This window comes from Homo sapiens, chromosome 6 (genome assembly GCF_000001405.40).
Source record: "Homo sapiens chromosome 6, GRCh38.p14 Primary Assembly".
Lineage (NCBI taxonomy): Eukaryota > Metazoa > Chordata > Mammalia > Primates > Hominidae > Homo > Homo sapiens.
This window is the reverse complement of record NC_000006.12, coordinates 42,243,240-42,258,112: the sequence shown is the minus strand read 5'-3', so window position 1 is coordinate 42,258,112 and position 14,873 is coordinate 42,243,240. Positions and strand designations below refer to the sequence as shown.

The window sequence follows — 14,873 nt, the reverse complement described above, 5'->3', positions numbered from 1 at the left end:
TTAGAACAGAAGCCTCAGCTTCTTGAGAAGTATAGTTAATACTTTTGTAGTCAGAGGATTACACTGAGAGAGCAGTTGTAGAAATTGTAGGATCGTGGTTATTTCTTGAGTACTGTTGTTTCCCTGCACAATGGTTGCCAGTATTTCAAGGCCTTTGCCAAAGACTAAATACATGGTCAAAGCATGAAGCCCTGTATTCAGAGAGCCTAGCGTCCCTGCGTCTGGCTCCACAGGCAGTGCTTTCTCATCCCCAGTGACACAGGCATCTCCCTCCGGGTGGCTCATTCTTTAAGAGGCTCCTTCTGAATGTCTTCACTTCCCTCCTCCCCAATTCTTGGCCAGTCCTCCAAATGGGCTTGTTAAGTACTTTAATTTTGCATAGGCAGTGGGTGGTATTAGGAGAGGCAAAGGTGGTTATTTTCATGGATAGGCACAGAAAAGAGGCCAGGTGGTAGAGTGGTGAGTAGATTGAGTCAGGAATCAAAAAACCTAAGTTCCAACACCATTTTGTAATTTGATCTTGATCCAGTTAACCTTTGTAGGGTTTAGTTGACTCGTCAAATGGGAGTAATTATTCCAGCCTTGCTTACATCACAGATCTCTGTGAGGTTCGGATGGGATAATATCTGTGAAAGTGATCTGAAAGAGATAAAAAAATGAATGCTTTGTATTTGTCCCCTTTTTTGTGTTGTTAAATGGCACCATTGGCCATGCTCTGGGAAACTGTTATGTTGGAAATAATCACCCTCCCTCTCCCAGTTACAGGGAGCTGTAAAAGCCCCAGGCCGACTGCCCCCTTGCTCCTAAAATATTTCTCCCTAATCTTAAAGCTGTTCCTTATCCCAGTGAAAAGGCCACGTGTGGAATCTTAGGGTCACACTGTGAGGAAATGCCCCTGCATTCTTGCAGAAAGAACTAGTTTCCTTCTTTTTCAAGTTCCTGACAGTTGCCCTTGGCCTGAGCCATCAAATTGAAGACCACATTGTTGTTTTTCTTCTTGTCATTTAAAGACGCATCAACATTGGCTTGAGATTCCAAGCAGAAATCCCTGAACTCCAAGATATCTCTGCCCTGGCCCAGGACACACACAAGGCCACACTGGTATGGAAGCCCTGGCCAGAACTAGAAAACCATGACCTCCAGCAAAGAGGTATTGGCATATGGGAAGAGCTGGGTGGGAGAGGTTTGATTCTCTCACTGAGATCACTGGCTCTGGGATTGGTGTGTTTTCCATTACACTCAGCTCTCTCTGATGCATTGGCTTCTCCTTATTCCCAACAGTGGAGAATCTTCTGAATTTGTGCTGTTCCAGTGCATTGCCAGGTGGAGGGACCAATTCTGAATTTGCTTTGCACTCTCTGTTTGAGGCCAAAGGTGATGTGATGGTAAGGAACCATGAAAAAGAGGCTTTACAAATTCCTGAAGAGTATTTTCCCAAGTTTCAATATTGTCTCATGTACCATACAACCAATTTGTAATGACCAATCGGCGCATGATGACCAATCAGCACGCCTCCCTATTCCTTCTCTCGGTGGGTAGGTCAGGATGTTAAAGTCTGTAGAAAAAAATCTCCAATTGGATTTCTGTTTCCACATCTGTTCCTAAAGTTAGAACTGTGGGTACATCTGTCCTAGGACATTAGAATTTCTTTTCCACATCTTGCACTTCACATCAGAAAACTGAGTCTCCAGTGATGGAGGTAGAAGGCTTTACTGAAGCAGAAGTTGGTCTAAAATAGCCTATCATACTCTGCTGATTCTTCTTCCCTACTATGGAAATCAGCCAAAGTTTGATGTTTATAGAACTCTTTTCTCCTCTAACCAAAATAAAGTGTTTACTGTTCACCAACTGGTTCCATTCTTCCACTTTTAACACAGTTCTGCAGATGTTCCCAAACCCATGCCTTGGTGCTGTCTTCCCAAAATCAGAGCTAACAGTTGACCTGCTCAACCTGGACTTCCTTTTTTTTTTTTTTTTTTTTTAAGATGGAGTCTCACTCTATCGCCCAGGCTGGAGTGCAATGGCATGATCTCGGCTCACCGCAACCTCTGCCTCCTGGGTTCAAGCGATTCTCCCTCCTCAGCCTTCCTAGTAGCTGGAATTACTGGTGCATGCCACCATGCCTGGCTAGTTTTTGTATTTTCAGTAGAGATGGGGTTTCATCATGTTGGCCAGGCTGGTCTCGAACTCCTGACCTCAGGTGATCCTCCCACCTCGGCCTCCCAAAGTGCTGGGATTACAGGCATGGACCACCGCACCCAGCCTCATCCTGGACTTCTGACCAGATCACTCAATCACTAACCTCTGTTTCCCCTTTATATAAATACATGGTAGTATATCTAGCTTCCTGCATTTTGATTTTATGAAAATGTGAAAATAAATGTCCCAATACTATGATACCCTTCAAGTATTTCCTAGAATGCTGGAGAACTGTCCTTAACCCTTTGAGATCAGTGTGGCAGTGTAGCACTTCTCAGACTTTCAATGTGCGTGCACATCACCTGGGAAATCTTGTTAAAAATGCAGATTCTGATTCAGAGGCTTGGGAGTAGGGCCCAGGTTCTGCCTTTTTGACCGGCTCCCAGGTGAGGGACGTACTCCTGTTCTATGGACCACACTTAGAGTAGCAAGATTCTAGGCCCTGCTCTGCCCTGAAACTATCTTCTGTTCAACTCTGCCTGCGGCATCTTTTAAAAAGCTACCGAGGCTGATTTGAAACAGTTTATTTAGCTAGGCTCTCTGGAAGGATGGTGTGTGTAGTACAGTTATTACTGATGCAGCTGTTTCTATTCAGCTGTAATGAAACACGATTTTTCTATAAAACAGTTACAGATCACCCACTCATTTCCTAGGAATCTTTGCCCAGAGACTCAGCCTCCAGTCAGAGGAGGCACCACTCATCTCTGGGGCGGGTGGGATTTTACCAAGGAAGAGTCAGGTCGTTCTGTTTTCCTGTGACATGAACAACTGGCTTCAGGCATGGATGGAGAGGGTGTTAGAAGGAGAGTCTTATTTGCTGAACAGACATGAAACCCTAGTTAGGGGAGTCTCCCTCTGGGTTTCCTTCCAGTGCCCCCGCCCCTGACCTCCACAGTGCTAACCGCTTTTCCCCTTTGGGTAGATGATCTCCATAGGACACACAGACCAGTTGCTGACTCTTGCCTTTTCTCTCCTTTGGGTCTGCAGGTTGCTCTGGAAATGCTGCTACTGCGGAAGCCTGTCAGGTTAAAATGTCATCCTTTAGCAAATTACCACTATGCCGGTAGGTTGCCAGGAGCCCTGTGTCCTGTTGCCTCCTGACGACGGGCTGCTTGCATGTTCGGTTGTGTCACTTTCTAGCAATGGATAACACCGGTTCTGTCCTAATCACCACTTGTGATCTCAAGGCCTCCTAGGGCAGAGCTATGTCTGTTGCTTTGGCTCTGTTGGCATTTGTCTGTTGGCATAAGCTCCTGCCCCTTGTGGGTGTGCCAAGACCTGGGTGACAGTGGACAGTGCCTGCACGTGTGGCAAGGAGACGAGTGCATGAGACCAGAGAGAGCCACAGAAGGTACAATCAGCAGCCCCCTGCTTTTGGAATCAGTAGCCATGGGTTTAGATTCTACCGCACCCCTTGGCCAAGTCCCATGGTCTTCTGCAGCCTGGGTTTTCTCACCTGTAAAATGAGACTTGTATTCCATCCCTCGTAGTGTTTTTGTGAGATTAGAGATGGTATATGTAGCCCAATGCCTGGCACATCCTAGTAGCATTTATTACTCATGTATCCAACAATTATTTTTTGAACACTTACTGTGTATTAGGGACTTGCTAAACACTGAGATGCATCAGTGACTATGACAGACATGGGCAGAGTCCTACGTCGTGCAGCTCAGAGGCTCTGAGGAGGAGGCAGTTATTAAATAATGGATCACACTGACAGGAAAGTCTTCATACACGCAGGGTTTTGTATGTGAATTAATGACAATACCACAATAAGAGGGAAGTAGAAGACACCTATGAGATTTAAATGGACTGAGAATTGTGAAAAGTGAAGGAAATAGGTCGGAGAGCCTAAGAAGTGACCAGTGACACTGAGGTCAACATTTTCATTTCCATGCACTAACTGTTCCTTCTGAGGGTCTCCACAAACCTAAGTTGGTTCTTTATTTTGGAGGGGGCTGAATTTTCAGTGCCTCTTGATTTTTAATCACTTGAGGGTTTCTTTGGTGCTCTGGGCAGACCCTGCCTAGGCAGGTGCCAAATATGTGGGCTTGGGGACCTAGCTATACGTTTTCCAATCTTTAGTCCGGGCAGCCCAGTGAGGGCTTCTTTACAAATATTGGCTTGCTTTCTCCACCAACATTTGCCTCACCTACTGTGCTCCTCCTCTTTCATGAACGAGCCTTCCTGCCTGTCATCACAAGGCAGACCTCAAAGCCCCTCTTCCAAGCACAGTAAGCCCAAGATGTCTGCCTGTAGGTCACTCCTGGAACTAGGCCAATACAGAGTGGACACATGGAATAAGAAATTCATCACTTCTCCGGTGGCCTAAAGGAGCCAGCTTCTTAATATTTTCTCCATCATTTCCTGCTTGGTGTCTGTCCCAAGTGTGGGTAAAAAGATGTAGGAGTTCTCCCTAATCTGCCATGGAAACAGCTCAGTCCTCTCTCTTAATTTCCAGCATCATCTGCTGCTCATTGAACCCTGAGAGGCTGTCCAGCCTCCTGGAGGCTGTCTCAAGCTTCTTTGCATGATGGTGGGACAGTGGGTTGGCTAAAAGGAGGTTCCTAACCATGTGCTGTGAGAAACTGCTGCCCTCAGCCCTCAGAGTGGCTAGGGTCGCCAGAGCCTCTGGGCTGGTTAGCTCTAGCTGTGAGCAGCGTCATCTGGGATACAGCTCTCCTCTGGTTCTTCCAAGTGTACCAAACAAGTATCATTTTATGTGTATCATGACATTAAAAAGGTCAGAAAGCTATGTACTAGGAGCGCCACACACCCCAGTCAAAACAAAATAAAAACACTAAAATATTACCAAAAACTTTGAAACAAGAGGGCCCTAAACTCTGCAACAATTAATTGATCTCTTGAGGTTAGGGGTTTCTAGCTAATCCCTTGCCTGTCCCCTGTCCCCTTCCCCAGCAGGCAGACCAGGAAGGACTCTGCTGTTTTCTGGAATCATTTCAATCCTTGGAGGCAAAAGAGATAGAGCTAAGCTGTGAAGGGTTGATATCTCCAAGAGAAACATACTCACCTATGTTTGCCAGTCACTTGCCTTCTCCAGGAAGTGATGATAGACTGGGACTCAGAGAATCTTCTAGAAGTTTGAGCAAAAAGGGCAGAGGTCACTGGTCTCTGAAGTCTGACCCAAAACCATCTCCTTAACAGTTTCCTTCTAAGCCGCAGGGGAGGCAGCAGAATCTTCCCCATCACATGTCCCAGCCACCACCTCCTTCTCCCACTGCTGAACCCCCTCATTTGCTTCCCAGGTGTCAGTGAATCCCATCTCCATGGCCCCATTCTGCTTTGGCCTTTGTGCTGAGCCCTGTTGGGTTGCTCCCCAGTAGTGACTGCCTGTTGGCTTAATTGCCACCTTGCTGGGACCCTATCTTCTGGATCTCCTTTGGCTCCTGACTCTGTGGCTGTGGCCAGTGTCACCATCCTGAGTCCCAGCCCCGAATTTGCTCTCCAGGCTCCCAGTTATCTGGAGAGGGAGTTCAGGTCTCCCAGGCCTGCCTGAGCCTGTCCATGTCAGGGCGGGAGGCTGTAAGTTTGGGGAGAAAGACAAAGACACAGGCCTACGAAAATCACTTCCTTACTTTACTCATTATCTTCCCTTTCCCACCCACTCCAAGCCGTTCATTAAGAAAAGGAAAAAGTGACCAGTGCTGGGACCCAGGAGAGATGTGCTATGGGGGAAGGGCCGACGTGGTGGGCAACTTGCCCAGATCTAATGGCTGCTTGCCAAGGCCACATGAACCCTGTACAGGATCCACAGAGGAAAGTGCTGTTGCAGTGGCTTCTGGCGCTCAACCCCCACCACGATGCACAGTCCAGCCCTCTGTTGCTCTCAGCACCTTCCCACCCATGTGTGGTTAGCAGTTGTGTGCAGTGGTTCCCAATTAGCACTTGGGTTGGGAAGGGCCAAGCATGGGGGAGTCAGGGTGGAGACGAAGCCTGGTTGTGATTAGATGGATTGCAGCATGCTTGATTTTTTTCATTGAACTGGTCATTCCTGCAGAGGGGTGTTAGAACTGACCTGGCTTCTTGGCAAGTGTTCAGCTGAGACTACTTATTGGCCCTGAGCACAGCCCAAACACCTGCTTAGTCCTGAAACCCTGACCTGAGTTGTGGAGATGGAGGAGACCTGGAGGAAATACTCATTCCATTGGAGAGGCCTTGTCTCTTCTGCCTTGGAAGCTGCCCCAGTTAGATGAGGAGACAGAATTACGTACTCAAGAGAGTAATTTGCAAGAAGCACAGCTGTGATTTCATTTTCCAGGCATCCTTAGCCTATGTCTCTAGACAGTGGTCCCCTCAAGGGCAGTACTGAGTTAATACTCTTTTACCTTGCCTAACATGGCACTGGTTTAAATTAAAAAAAAAAAAATTGCCTAGTGGACAAGCTCAAATTCTGGATTCAGATTGAGGCTTCCCCCCTTTTATCCACAGAGAAAACTCTGGTGTAATAGCCTGCTTCAACTTGCACCCCCCAAAAAATTACTCAACCTTCACCCACTATTGAAAACCCTGTGTGGAAATGAAAATTTGGTATAAAACAGTCCTCCTTTTTCTGCAATGAACATGTCTGTCTTGTGTAACTTCAAAACATCATCAATGGGTCCAGGAACGGTGGCTCATGCCTGTAATCCCAGCACTTTGGGAGGCCAAGGCGGGCAGATCGCTTAAGCTCAGGAGTTCGACACCAGCCTGGAAAACATGGTGAAACCCCATCTGTACTAAAAATACAAAAATTAGCCAGGCATAGTGGTGCATGCCTGTAATCCCAGCTACTTGGGTGGATGAGCAAGAGAGTTGCCTGAACCCAAGAGGCGTAGGCTATAGTGAGCTGAGATCACGCCACTGCACTCCAACCTGGGCGACAGAGTGAGACCCTGTCTCAAAAAAAAAAAAAAAAAAAAAAGAAGCAAAAGAAAAGAAAAAAATTATAATAGAAGTTTTAAGAAAGACAGAAAGGCCCTCTAAAAGATACTGTGTCCAAACTTTCTCTCAACCCTCCATGTCTCTTTTTAATTGCCTGTGTTCACTGTCGATTGCCCCCAAATTAGCCACAGTCCAGAGCCTGTTTCCCAGCAACCGAAGGTCAAAACAGTTTTCCTCTGGATACTGTTCCAGCACCGGTTTCATCCAGTTAATTAGGTTCTTTGTAATTAGCCTTAATCATCTTGTTAGGGGCCCCTGCTGGTAATAGCCCAATAGCCAGGAATTCCCAGGTAGAACAAATGAGTGTGGGGGGACTCTCAACCCACGAACCCTGTGTGCATGCTGAGTGGGCAGCAGGGATCCTAGAGAGAAGGGAGGGTGTGGGGGGTAGTTGAAGGATAGGGGAGGATTTGAGGCAACACCCTGCCTCGGTTTTGTATTTTATCCTGGACTTTGTCCAAGATGCAGGATCCAAGAAGGGCCGGCTTAGAGAACCTTGTCTAAGAACGAGGAACGTGTCCCTATCAGACTCCAGGAAAGAGAGACATCTGAGCCTTTCGTTAACTTCGGATTACAGAGGGATTTTGGAGGCAGGAAGGAGAAGACTATGGATATAATAAGCAGCCAGCAGTGAGACTGTGGATAAGAAATACACAGAACAAGAAACAGGTGGTCTTGGATGCCACTGTCCACATATCAGCAGGGGTGGCATACGTCTCATAGCCCTGGGCTGATTTGGAATCTGCTCTCCAAGTGGCCAGTGAAGGTTCAAAACATGTATCGAACACTTAGGACCAAACCTGTCAGTCACAGGGTAACTGCCACCATCCCCATGTCATGTGGGGAAACTGAGACTCAGAGAAGTTAAGTAGGCTTGCCCGGGGTTCACAGAAGGAGTAAGTGGCAGAACCAGGTTTACAACCTAAGGTGACTAAAATCACCCTTTTTATCACAGTTCAGTGATATTATTTGGAGAAAACACATTCATATGTTATTTATCTGTCCAAGGCTTTAGCCTGGGAATTCAATCCAAGAGCCCAGGGATGGACTCTCAGCCTCGGTGGGTAATCTTGTGATCAGGAAGCCACCTCTAGTGTGAGAATGGATTTGTTGCCCGGCCAAGGCTCTGTCCCTCAATTTGTGGACACCCTGTTGAGCAGACACTAACACATGCACACACAGAGCACTATCATTTGCACCAAAGCACAAAGCCTAGGACTGTGCAGAAGAGCCACCTCTTACTGTCTTAAGACTGTGCTCCCTGACCCAGCCCTGTATCCCTTGGAATGGGAGAGTGACATAGAGGGGCAGGGAGAACATGCAGCCCACTCCATCTCAGGATGAGTTGTACAGAATGCACACTCCGGAATCAGGAAGCCACCAAATCCTATGACAGAGCAGCAGTCTTAAAAACCACCAGGAATCAGCAGGGAGAAGGTCTCCTTCCCCCACGAGGTTTGGGGATCTCTCCTAACAGATGGGCCAGGAAGTTACATCACCAGTGGAGTTGCATCTGGCAAGCAATTTGGAAACATGAAGGGACATGCTTCTCAGAAATCGACAGGCCTGGGAACTGAACACTGCTTTTGGGGCCAGAAATCAGGTAATGAGCCTGGTGGGTAGAAAAAAGTATATCCACTGCAGAGACTGGCTGAGAAGGCTGGATGGCCCTGTTAGTGTCTTGTCATGTCTCAGAGCTGCACTCTAACTTAGGAAACTGATGGTCTGGTTGAGGTTGGAAAGAATTATCATTGATCTAGTTGAGGGTTTCATCAGCAAAATGTCCCCTGATTCCCCATCGGAGATGCAGCTGAGGGCCACACGGATTCTGGACCTGCAGCAGGGCAGCAGAGCAACCTCTGTGTAAGCTTGTGTGAGTCAGCTGGTATGACAGACCGCCATTGTGGTCTTCCTTCCATCATTATCTTTCTGACTCCTCTTACCCGTTTGCTGTTTTGGTGGATACCTAAAAGGAACCATGACGGTTGTTTGGTTGTTGAACTGAATTGTTGGTGATTCCTTTCTGTGTCCTTCTTTCTACCTCTGTTCCTGGGTAAGGGGACCCCAAGGCTTTGAATGTTGGACAGAATTTGAAGAATGGTGATGGAAGTGATATAGAGCCTCAAATCCCACCAACCCCCTGTGCTCACATGCACTCCGGCAAGTATTCTCCAAACCCCCAGCCCCCCTGAGGCTCCGTGTTACTGTGGTCTGCACGGTCAGAGCTGTCCAGCCCTCTGGAACCCATGGAAGATGACTCCCTTCTGCTGAGTATTCATGGGAAAGCTGCTTTCCTTCTAGAAGTAAAGAGATAAGTTTGCAGCTGGGCACAGTGGCACACGTCTGTAATCCCAGCACTTTGGGAAGCTGAGGCAAGCGGATCACTTCAGGTCAGGAGCTAAGGCCAGCCTGGCCAACTTGGTGAATCCCCATCTCTGCTAAAAATACAAAAATTAGCCAGGTGTGGTGGCACGCACCTGTAATCTCATCTACTCAGGAGGCTGAGGCAAGACAATCACTTGAACCCAAGAGGCAGAGGTTGCAGTGAGCCGAGATCTCGCCACTGCACTCCAGCCTGGGTGACAGAGCAAGACTCCATCTCCAAAAAAAAAAAAGAAAAAGATAAGTTTGCAAACCAAATAAATTGGGTGGTGGCCCTGCTTTTGTAGATGTCTGACCCCGCCCAGCTGTGGAGAGCATATTCTGAGTCTGGAGCCAAAGCTCCTGGCTTGAGGACCCATCAAAGAGCTGCACAAGGAAGTTGTTTATTTCAGAAATGTGAGTTTATGTCACTGAGCCATATATTCTTCTAAGGACCCTAGGCTCCCCACCTGTGGTCTAAGGAGGCCCCTGCCTGCCCAGAGCATTTTTGCCTGATTCACTTATTTTGGCCAAACCCTACAAAGAAAGAGGCGATTAGGGTTTCCTGTACTGCAGTCCCATCAGTTGACCATAGCAAAATGGAAACCTTGGACTCGCCCGGAATGGGAGGAAAGATATTATGATTTGGGGTACTAGTGTACCCCACTAATGAAGTATAGTGAGGTAGGGTACTAGTGTACCCCACTAATGAAGTCTAGAGAAGTGTAGTGAGGTCAAAGCCTTGGCCAAATACCATCCAAAGAATCAGAGATGTGGAGAATTCAGCAGGCCAGAAGAATAAGACTGAGTTTTCTCTGAACCAGCCACAGTGGTGGAAGCTTCCCTAGAGCCTCCAGAAATAGGAGTCCCCTTAGAAGTAGGCCTTATTTCTTGCCCCAAACAAGCCAGTATAACTTTATATTATTATCTGCATATCGTGCTTTCTTTCATGGAGGAAAAAGACATAAATATCAGGTTTAGCCAGTAAGGAAGATGCACCAGCCCAGCAGTGAAGCCTCTCCCTCTTCGGTCGGCAAATCTGTCAAGAACTGGCTCCACTCACCTCTCCAGCCTCATCTGCTTCTGCTGGAACCTTATACTTGAACCAGATTAGATTACTAGTCGTTCTTTGAAAACCTCCATTTCCTCATTTGTCAAATGGGCTCATCATCCTAACAATCTTACAGGATTGTTAGTAGAACCTAATGATGAATAACTGAAGTACTTAGAACCTGCCACTTAGTAAGCACTTAGAAATGTTAAGCTATTTTTCCTAGTACAGCATCTTGCTTGTAATATACACCTAATAAATATCTGTTGAATGAACAACTGAAGTGCATGACTTCACTCTTGCCTCTGACTTTGCACATCCTGCTTCCTCTCACCAGAATACTCTTCCATCTCCTTATGATCTGACTTGCTTCTATGTGACCTTTAAAACTCAACTCATGTTTTCTCTAGCTGGAAGCCCTCCTGGCTGCCCTGGCCCTAACCTGAGTGTGGTGTTTCTCCTTTGTGCCCCATTGGCACCTCGCCTCTACCTGAATAATTACAATTACCACCTTGAACGTCATGGCCTACTTGTTTGTCTCCCCAGTAGACTGTGAGCATCTTGAGGGTGGAGGGTGAATCCAGCCACACCCTGAAGGGTACTTGCTACATGAATGCTTGCACTTGTGAATATGATAATTACGTTAAAACTGTACCTAAAATTTGTTGAATGCTCACTGTTTCCCAGCGATGATGCTGGACACTTTTTGTGCATTATCTTCTTTAACCTTCACAAAAATCCTAATCAGTGGAGGCAATTATAGTTATTCCCATTTGTAGGTAACAAAACAGGCTTAGGATAAGTAACTTGCCAAGGTCAAGGCCATAGCTGGGACTTGAACCCAGGTGTCAGAGCTCCTAACCATTATATCACACTATCTTTTTGTTCAAATGGGAGTTTGATATGTATTATATCACTTGCTCTGTAGTTGTATTTTGTAACTTAACTAAATGAACCAGCAACTAAAAGCAGGGGGAACTGTGAGCTGTTCTTATGATGTTTGTGTTTTGTTGTAGGTTCGGACAAGTGGACCTCCCTAGAAAGAAAACTGTTTAACAAAGCACTAGCCACTTACAGCAAAGACTTTATTTTTGTACAGAAGATGGTAAGCATGATTTTTCCCATTGCCCCCTTGAAATTAAATTTGGGAAATTGTACACAAAAATATTTAGAAATATTTGGATACTGGTTTAAGATACTTACAAAAAGGATGTCTTCCACACTCGCTGGTGAGGATGGTAGTGGAGATAGGGGTGGTATGGCCCCAGTGTTAGGACTGTGGCAGGGAGAGGACAGGGGAAAGAAGGCGTAGATTATCTGGACACTGCAGTGGCACGGGGTTATTTTCTATCTTAATAAAAATGTGTAATTCATAATTCTGTCAGAATAACTAGAACTCGGGTTCCTGGTCCACAATTTACATAATTTATTTTATTTTTATTTTTTATTTTTTCCAAGACAGTTTCACTCTCTCACCCAGGCTGGAGTGCAGTGGTGTGATCTTGACTCACTGCAGCCTCCACCTCCCGGGTTCAAGCGATTCTCTTGCCTCAGTCTCTAGAGTAACTGGGATTACAGGCATGCACCACCACGCCCGGCTAATTTTTGTATTTTTAGTAGAGGCGGGGCTTTACCATGTTGGCCAGGCTGGTCTTGAACTCGTAACCTCAAGTGATCCACCTCCCTCAGCCTCCCAAAGCACTGGGATTACCGGCGTGAGCCGGCATGCCTGGCCGTACATAATTTACGTATATTTAACAGATCTACCACATTTCTGACAGAACTTTCTGGGGAGAGGAGAATATGTGGCCTCCCTCTACCCAGTAGCACAGTTTCTGGTGTTGAACTCCTATTTTTAATGACAGTAATAATAAAAATACCTTGCGTATACAGCATTCGAAAGCAAAATAAAACTTTCACATAGATGAAATAGCACTTTATACAACAGATAAACTTATTGACTTTATTGGCTGAGAGATGGTTTAGTGTAAAAAATTAAAATCATTCAAAGAGTGTTTCAACAAACTGATGAATGATGGAGCCATATTGTGTTAAAGCCATTTAAGGCTGTTCAGGTACACAAAGAACAGGGCGCAGTTGATAGCACCCACTGGCCCCTGGCTGAGACAGATGGTCCTCGGAGGTGTCCTAGGGTGGCATGTCTCCTGTTGTCAGTCTAGGGCCTTGCCTGGGCAAGTGTGAAAAGCAGGAGGACTTTGTCTCTGACTTGCCTCCGCCTCGCCTCCGCCTCCATCTCTGCATTTGCTCCTGCCTTGCCCTTGGCGGCTGCCATGCCTTTGCTGCCCTGTGTGCCCAGCAGCTCTCATGCTTCATCTTTCTAGAGTCACCCTCCCCTCCAGGACTGGCCTGGCATAGACCTCAATCCTTTAGGCCCCACACTTGCGACTGATGATGGATTCGTGTATTGAGCTTACCAGGCAACCTGGGTTTTAACCCAGGGCTCTCTGGGACGGGCACTGTCCTCACTCCCTCAGGTGATTCTAGTGTGGAAATTCCAGGTGTCAGGGGGATGAGAAGGGGGCAACTTTGAGGAGACAGGACTGGGTGCCCCTCTCATCTCACCATGTAGGTGGCCTTGTTCCCACCCTCAAGGGTAAGGCCAGCCTTTAATCTGCCTCCAGCAAACCCACGTTATTACACCTCACCTGATCATACAGCATATGAACTAAACAAAGGAATGTTTCTGTCTTAAGATGCATAGACCTTTGCCTGTTTGGGGTTGAATAGGGCAAGGCCCATTTCCTGCAAAACCTAAGCTCTGTCATCATAACTTTTGCCTTATATTCCTATTCCATTACTAAGGAACATTTCTCATAAGCATATTTTGAAGGTCAAGTTAGAGACATTCAAGCATATTAAATGAAAAAGCAGCTGCTTTATGGGTTAAAAAAATGAGTAAGTCTGTAAGGACTGATCTGAAAAAATTTCCAAGCTATATTGAGAAAAAAATCAAGTTGCAAAGCAGTATTTATAGTGTGCTCCCTTTTGTGAGGAAAGATGGTGGGGGAGGGAATATATTTTTGTGTGTGCTGGTACATGCATTAGAAAATTCTGGAGGCCAGGCACAGTGGCTCACACCTGTAATCCCAGCACTTTGGGAGGCCAAGGCAGGCGGATCACCTGAGGTCGGGAGTTCGAGACCAGCCTGACCAACATGTAGAAACCACGTCTCTACTAAAAATACAAAATTAACTGGGCGTGGTGGTGCATGCCTGTAATCCCAGCTACTCAGGAGGCTGAGGCAGGAGAATCGCTTGAACCCAGGAGGTGGAGGTTGTGGTGAGCCGAGATCGTGCCATTGCACTCCAGCCTGGGCAACGAGAGTGAAACTCCATCTCAAAAAAAGAAAAAAATTCTGGAATGGGTGTTGTGACTCAATGCCTGTAATGCCAGCAATTTGGGAGGCCCAGGCAGGAGGATCACTTGAGGTCAGGAGTTCGAGACTAGCCTGGCCAACATGGTGAAACCCCATCTCTACTAAAAATAGAAAAAAATGAGCCAGGTGCGGTGGCGGGTGCCTGTAATCCCAGCTACTTGGGAGGCTAAGGCAGGAGAATTGCTTGAATCTCGGAGGTGGAGGTTGCAGTGAGCCAAGATGGTGCCACTGCACTCCAGCCTCGGCAACAGAGCAAGACTCCATCTCAAAAAAAAAAAAAAAAAGGCTGGGCGCAGTGACTCACGCCCGTAATCCCAGTGCTTTGGGAGGCCGAGGTGGGCGGATCACGAGGTCAGGAGATCAAGACCATCCTGGCTAACACAATGAAACCCCGTCTCTACTAAAAATACAAAAAATTAGCCGGGCATGGTGGCGGATGCCTGTAGTCCCAGCTACTCGGGAGGCTGAGGCAGGAGAATGGTGTGAACCTGGGAGGCAGAGGTTGCAGTGATCCGAGATTGCGCCACTGCACTCCAGCCTGGGCGACAGAGCAAGACTCCGTCTCAAAAAAAAAAAAAAAATCTGGAATGGTAGCCAAAGAAATTAATGCAAGGGGCTACCTGTGTTGCAGGGTGAGGGGTAAGGACAGGCGTGTGAAGGAGGCCTTTCACCAGGTACATTTTTTTCTTGAACTGTACAAACTTGTTTATTACCCTATTACAAAATTAAATATTCAAAAATGCTTGCTACCTTTGCTCTCTGCCCATTGCTGGAGCTAACCTTGAGTTCGCTTTCCCGGCAGGTGAAGTCCAAGACGGTGGCTCAGTGCGTGGAGTACTACTACACGTGGAAAAAGATCATGCGGCTGGGGCGGAAACACCGGACACGCCTGGCAGAAATCATCGACGATTGTGTGGTGAGTGA

At 46.9% G+C, this 14,873-nt stretch overlaps 1 protein-coding gene and 1 long non-coding RNA gene across 53 annotated transcripts in view, besides 1 other annotated feature; one reads left to right on the top strand and one right to left on the bottom strand.

Annotated features, from left to right (window-relative positions):
- TRERF1 (transcriptional regulating factor 1) overlaps positions 1–14,873 on the top strand; it is a 227,294-nt gene that overhangs the window by 194,112 nt on the left and 18,309 nt on the right. For all 52 annotated transcript variants that reach the window (XM_047419067.1, XM_047419061.1, XM_047419048.1 and 49 more), the window contains 5 exons: positions 1,011–1,150; positions 1,282–1,385; positions 3,187–3,262; positions 11,569–11,657; positions 14,752–14,865. In XM_047419067.1, the coding sequence (XP_047275023.1) occupies positions 1,011–1,150; positions 1,282–1,385; positions 3,187–3,262; positions 11,569–11,657; positions 14,752–14,865 (523 nt within the window). The remainder of the gene's footprint in view (positions 1–1,010; positions 1,151–1,281; positions 1,386–3,186; positions 3,263–11,568; positions 11,658–14,751; positions 14,866–14,873) is intronic.
- Positions 7–734: an enhancer, noted in NCBI's record as "OCT4-NANOG-H3K4me1 hESC enhancer chr6:42225117-42225844 (GRCh37/hg19 assembly coordinates)". NCBI's record gives its function as "activates a minimal SCP1, AML or CMV promoter by ChIP-STARR-seq in naive H9 embryonic stem cells {active_cell/tissue: H9 hESC(naive)}" and the evidence as "EXISTENCE:reporter gene assay evidence [ECO:0000049][PMID:30033119]".
- Positions 352–7,342, bottom strand: LOC124901316 (uncharacterized). The gene is made up of 2 exons (XR_007059577.1): positions 5,231–7,342; positions 352–639 (listed from the first exon to the last, which is right to left on the bottom strand). It is a non-coding gene; the product is annotated as an uncharacterized LOC124901316 (long non-coding RNA).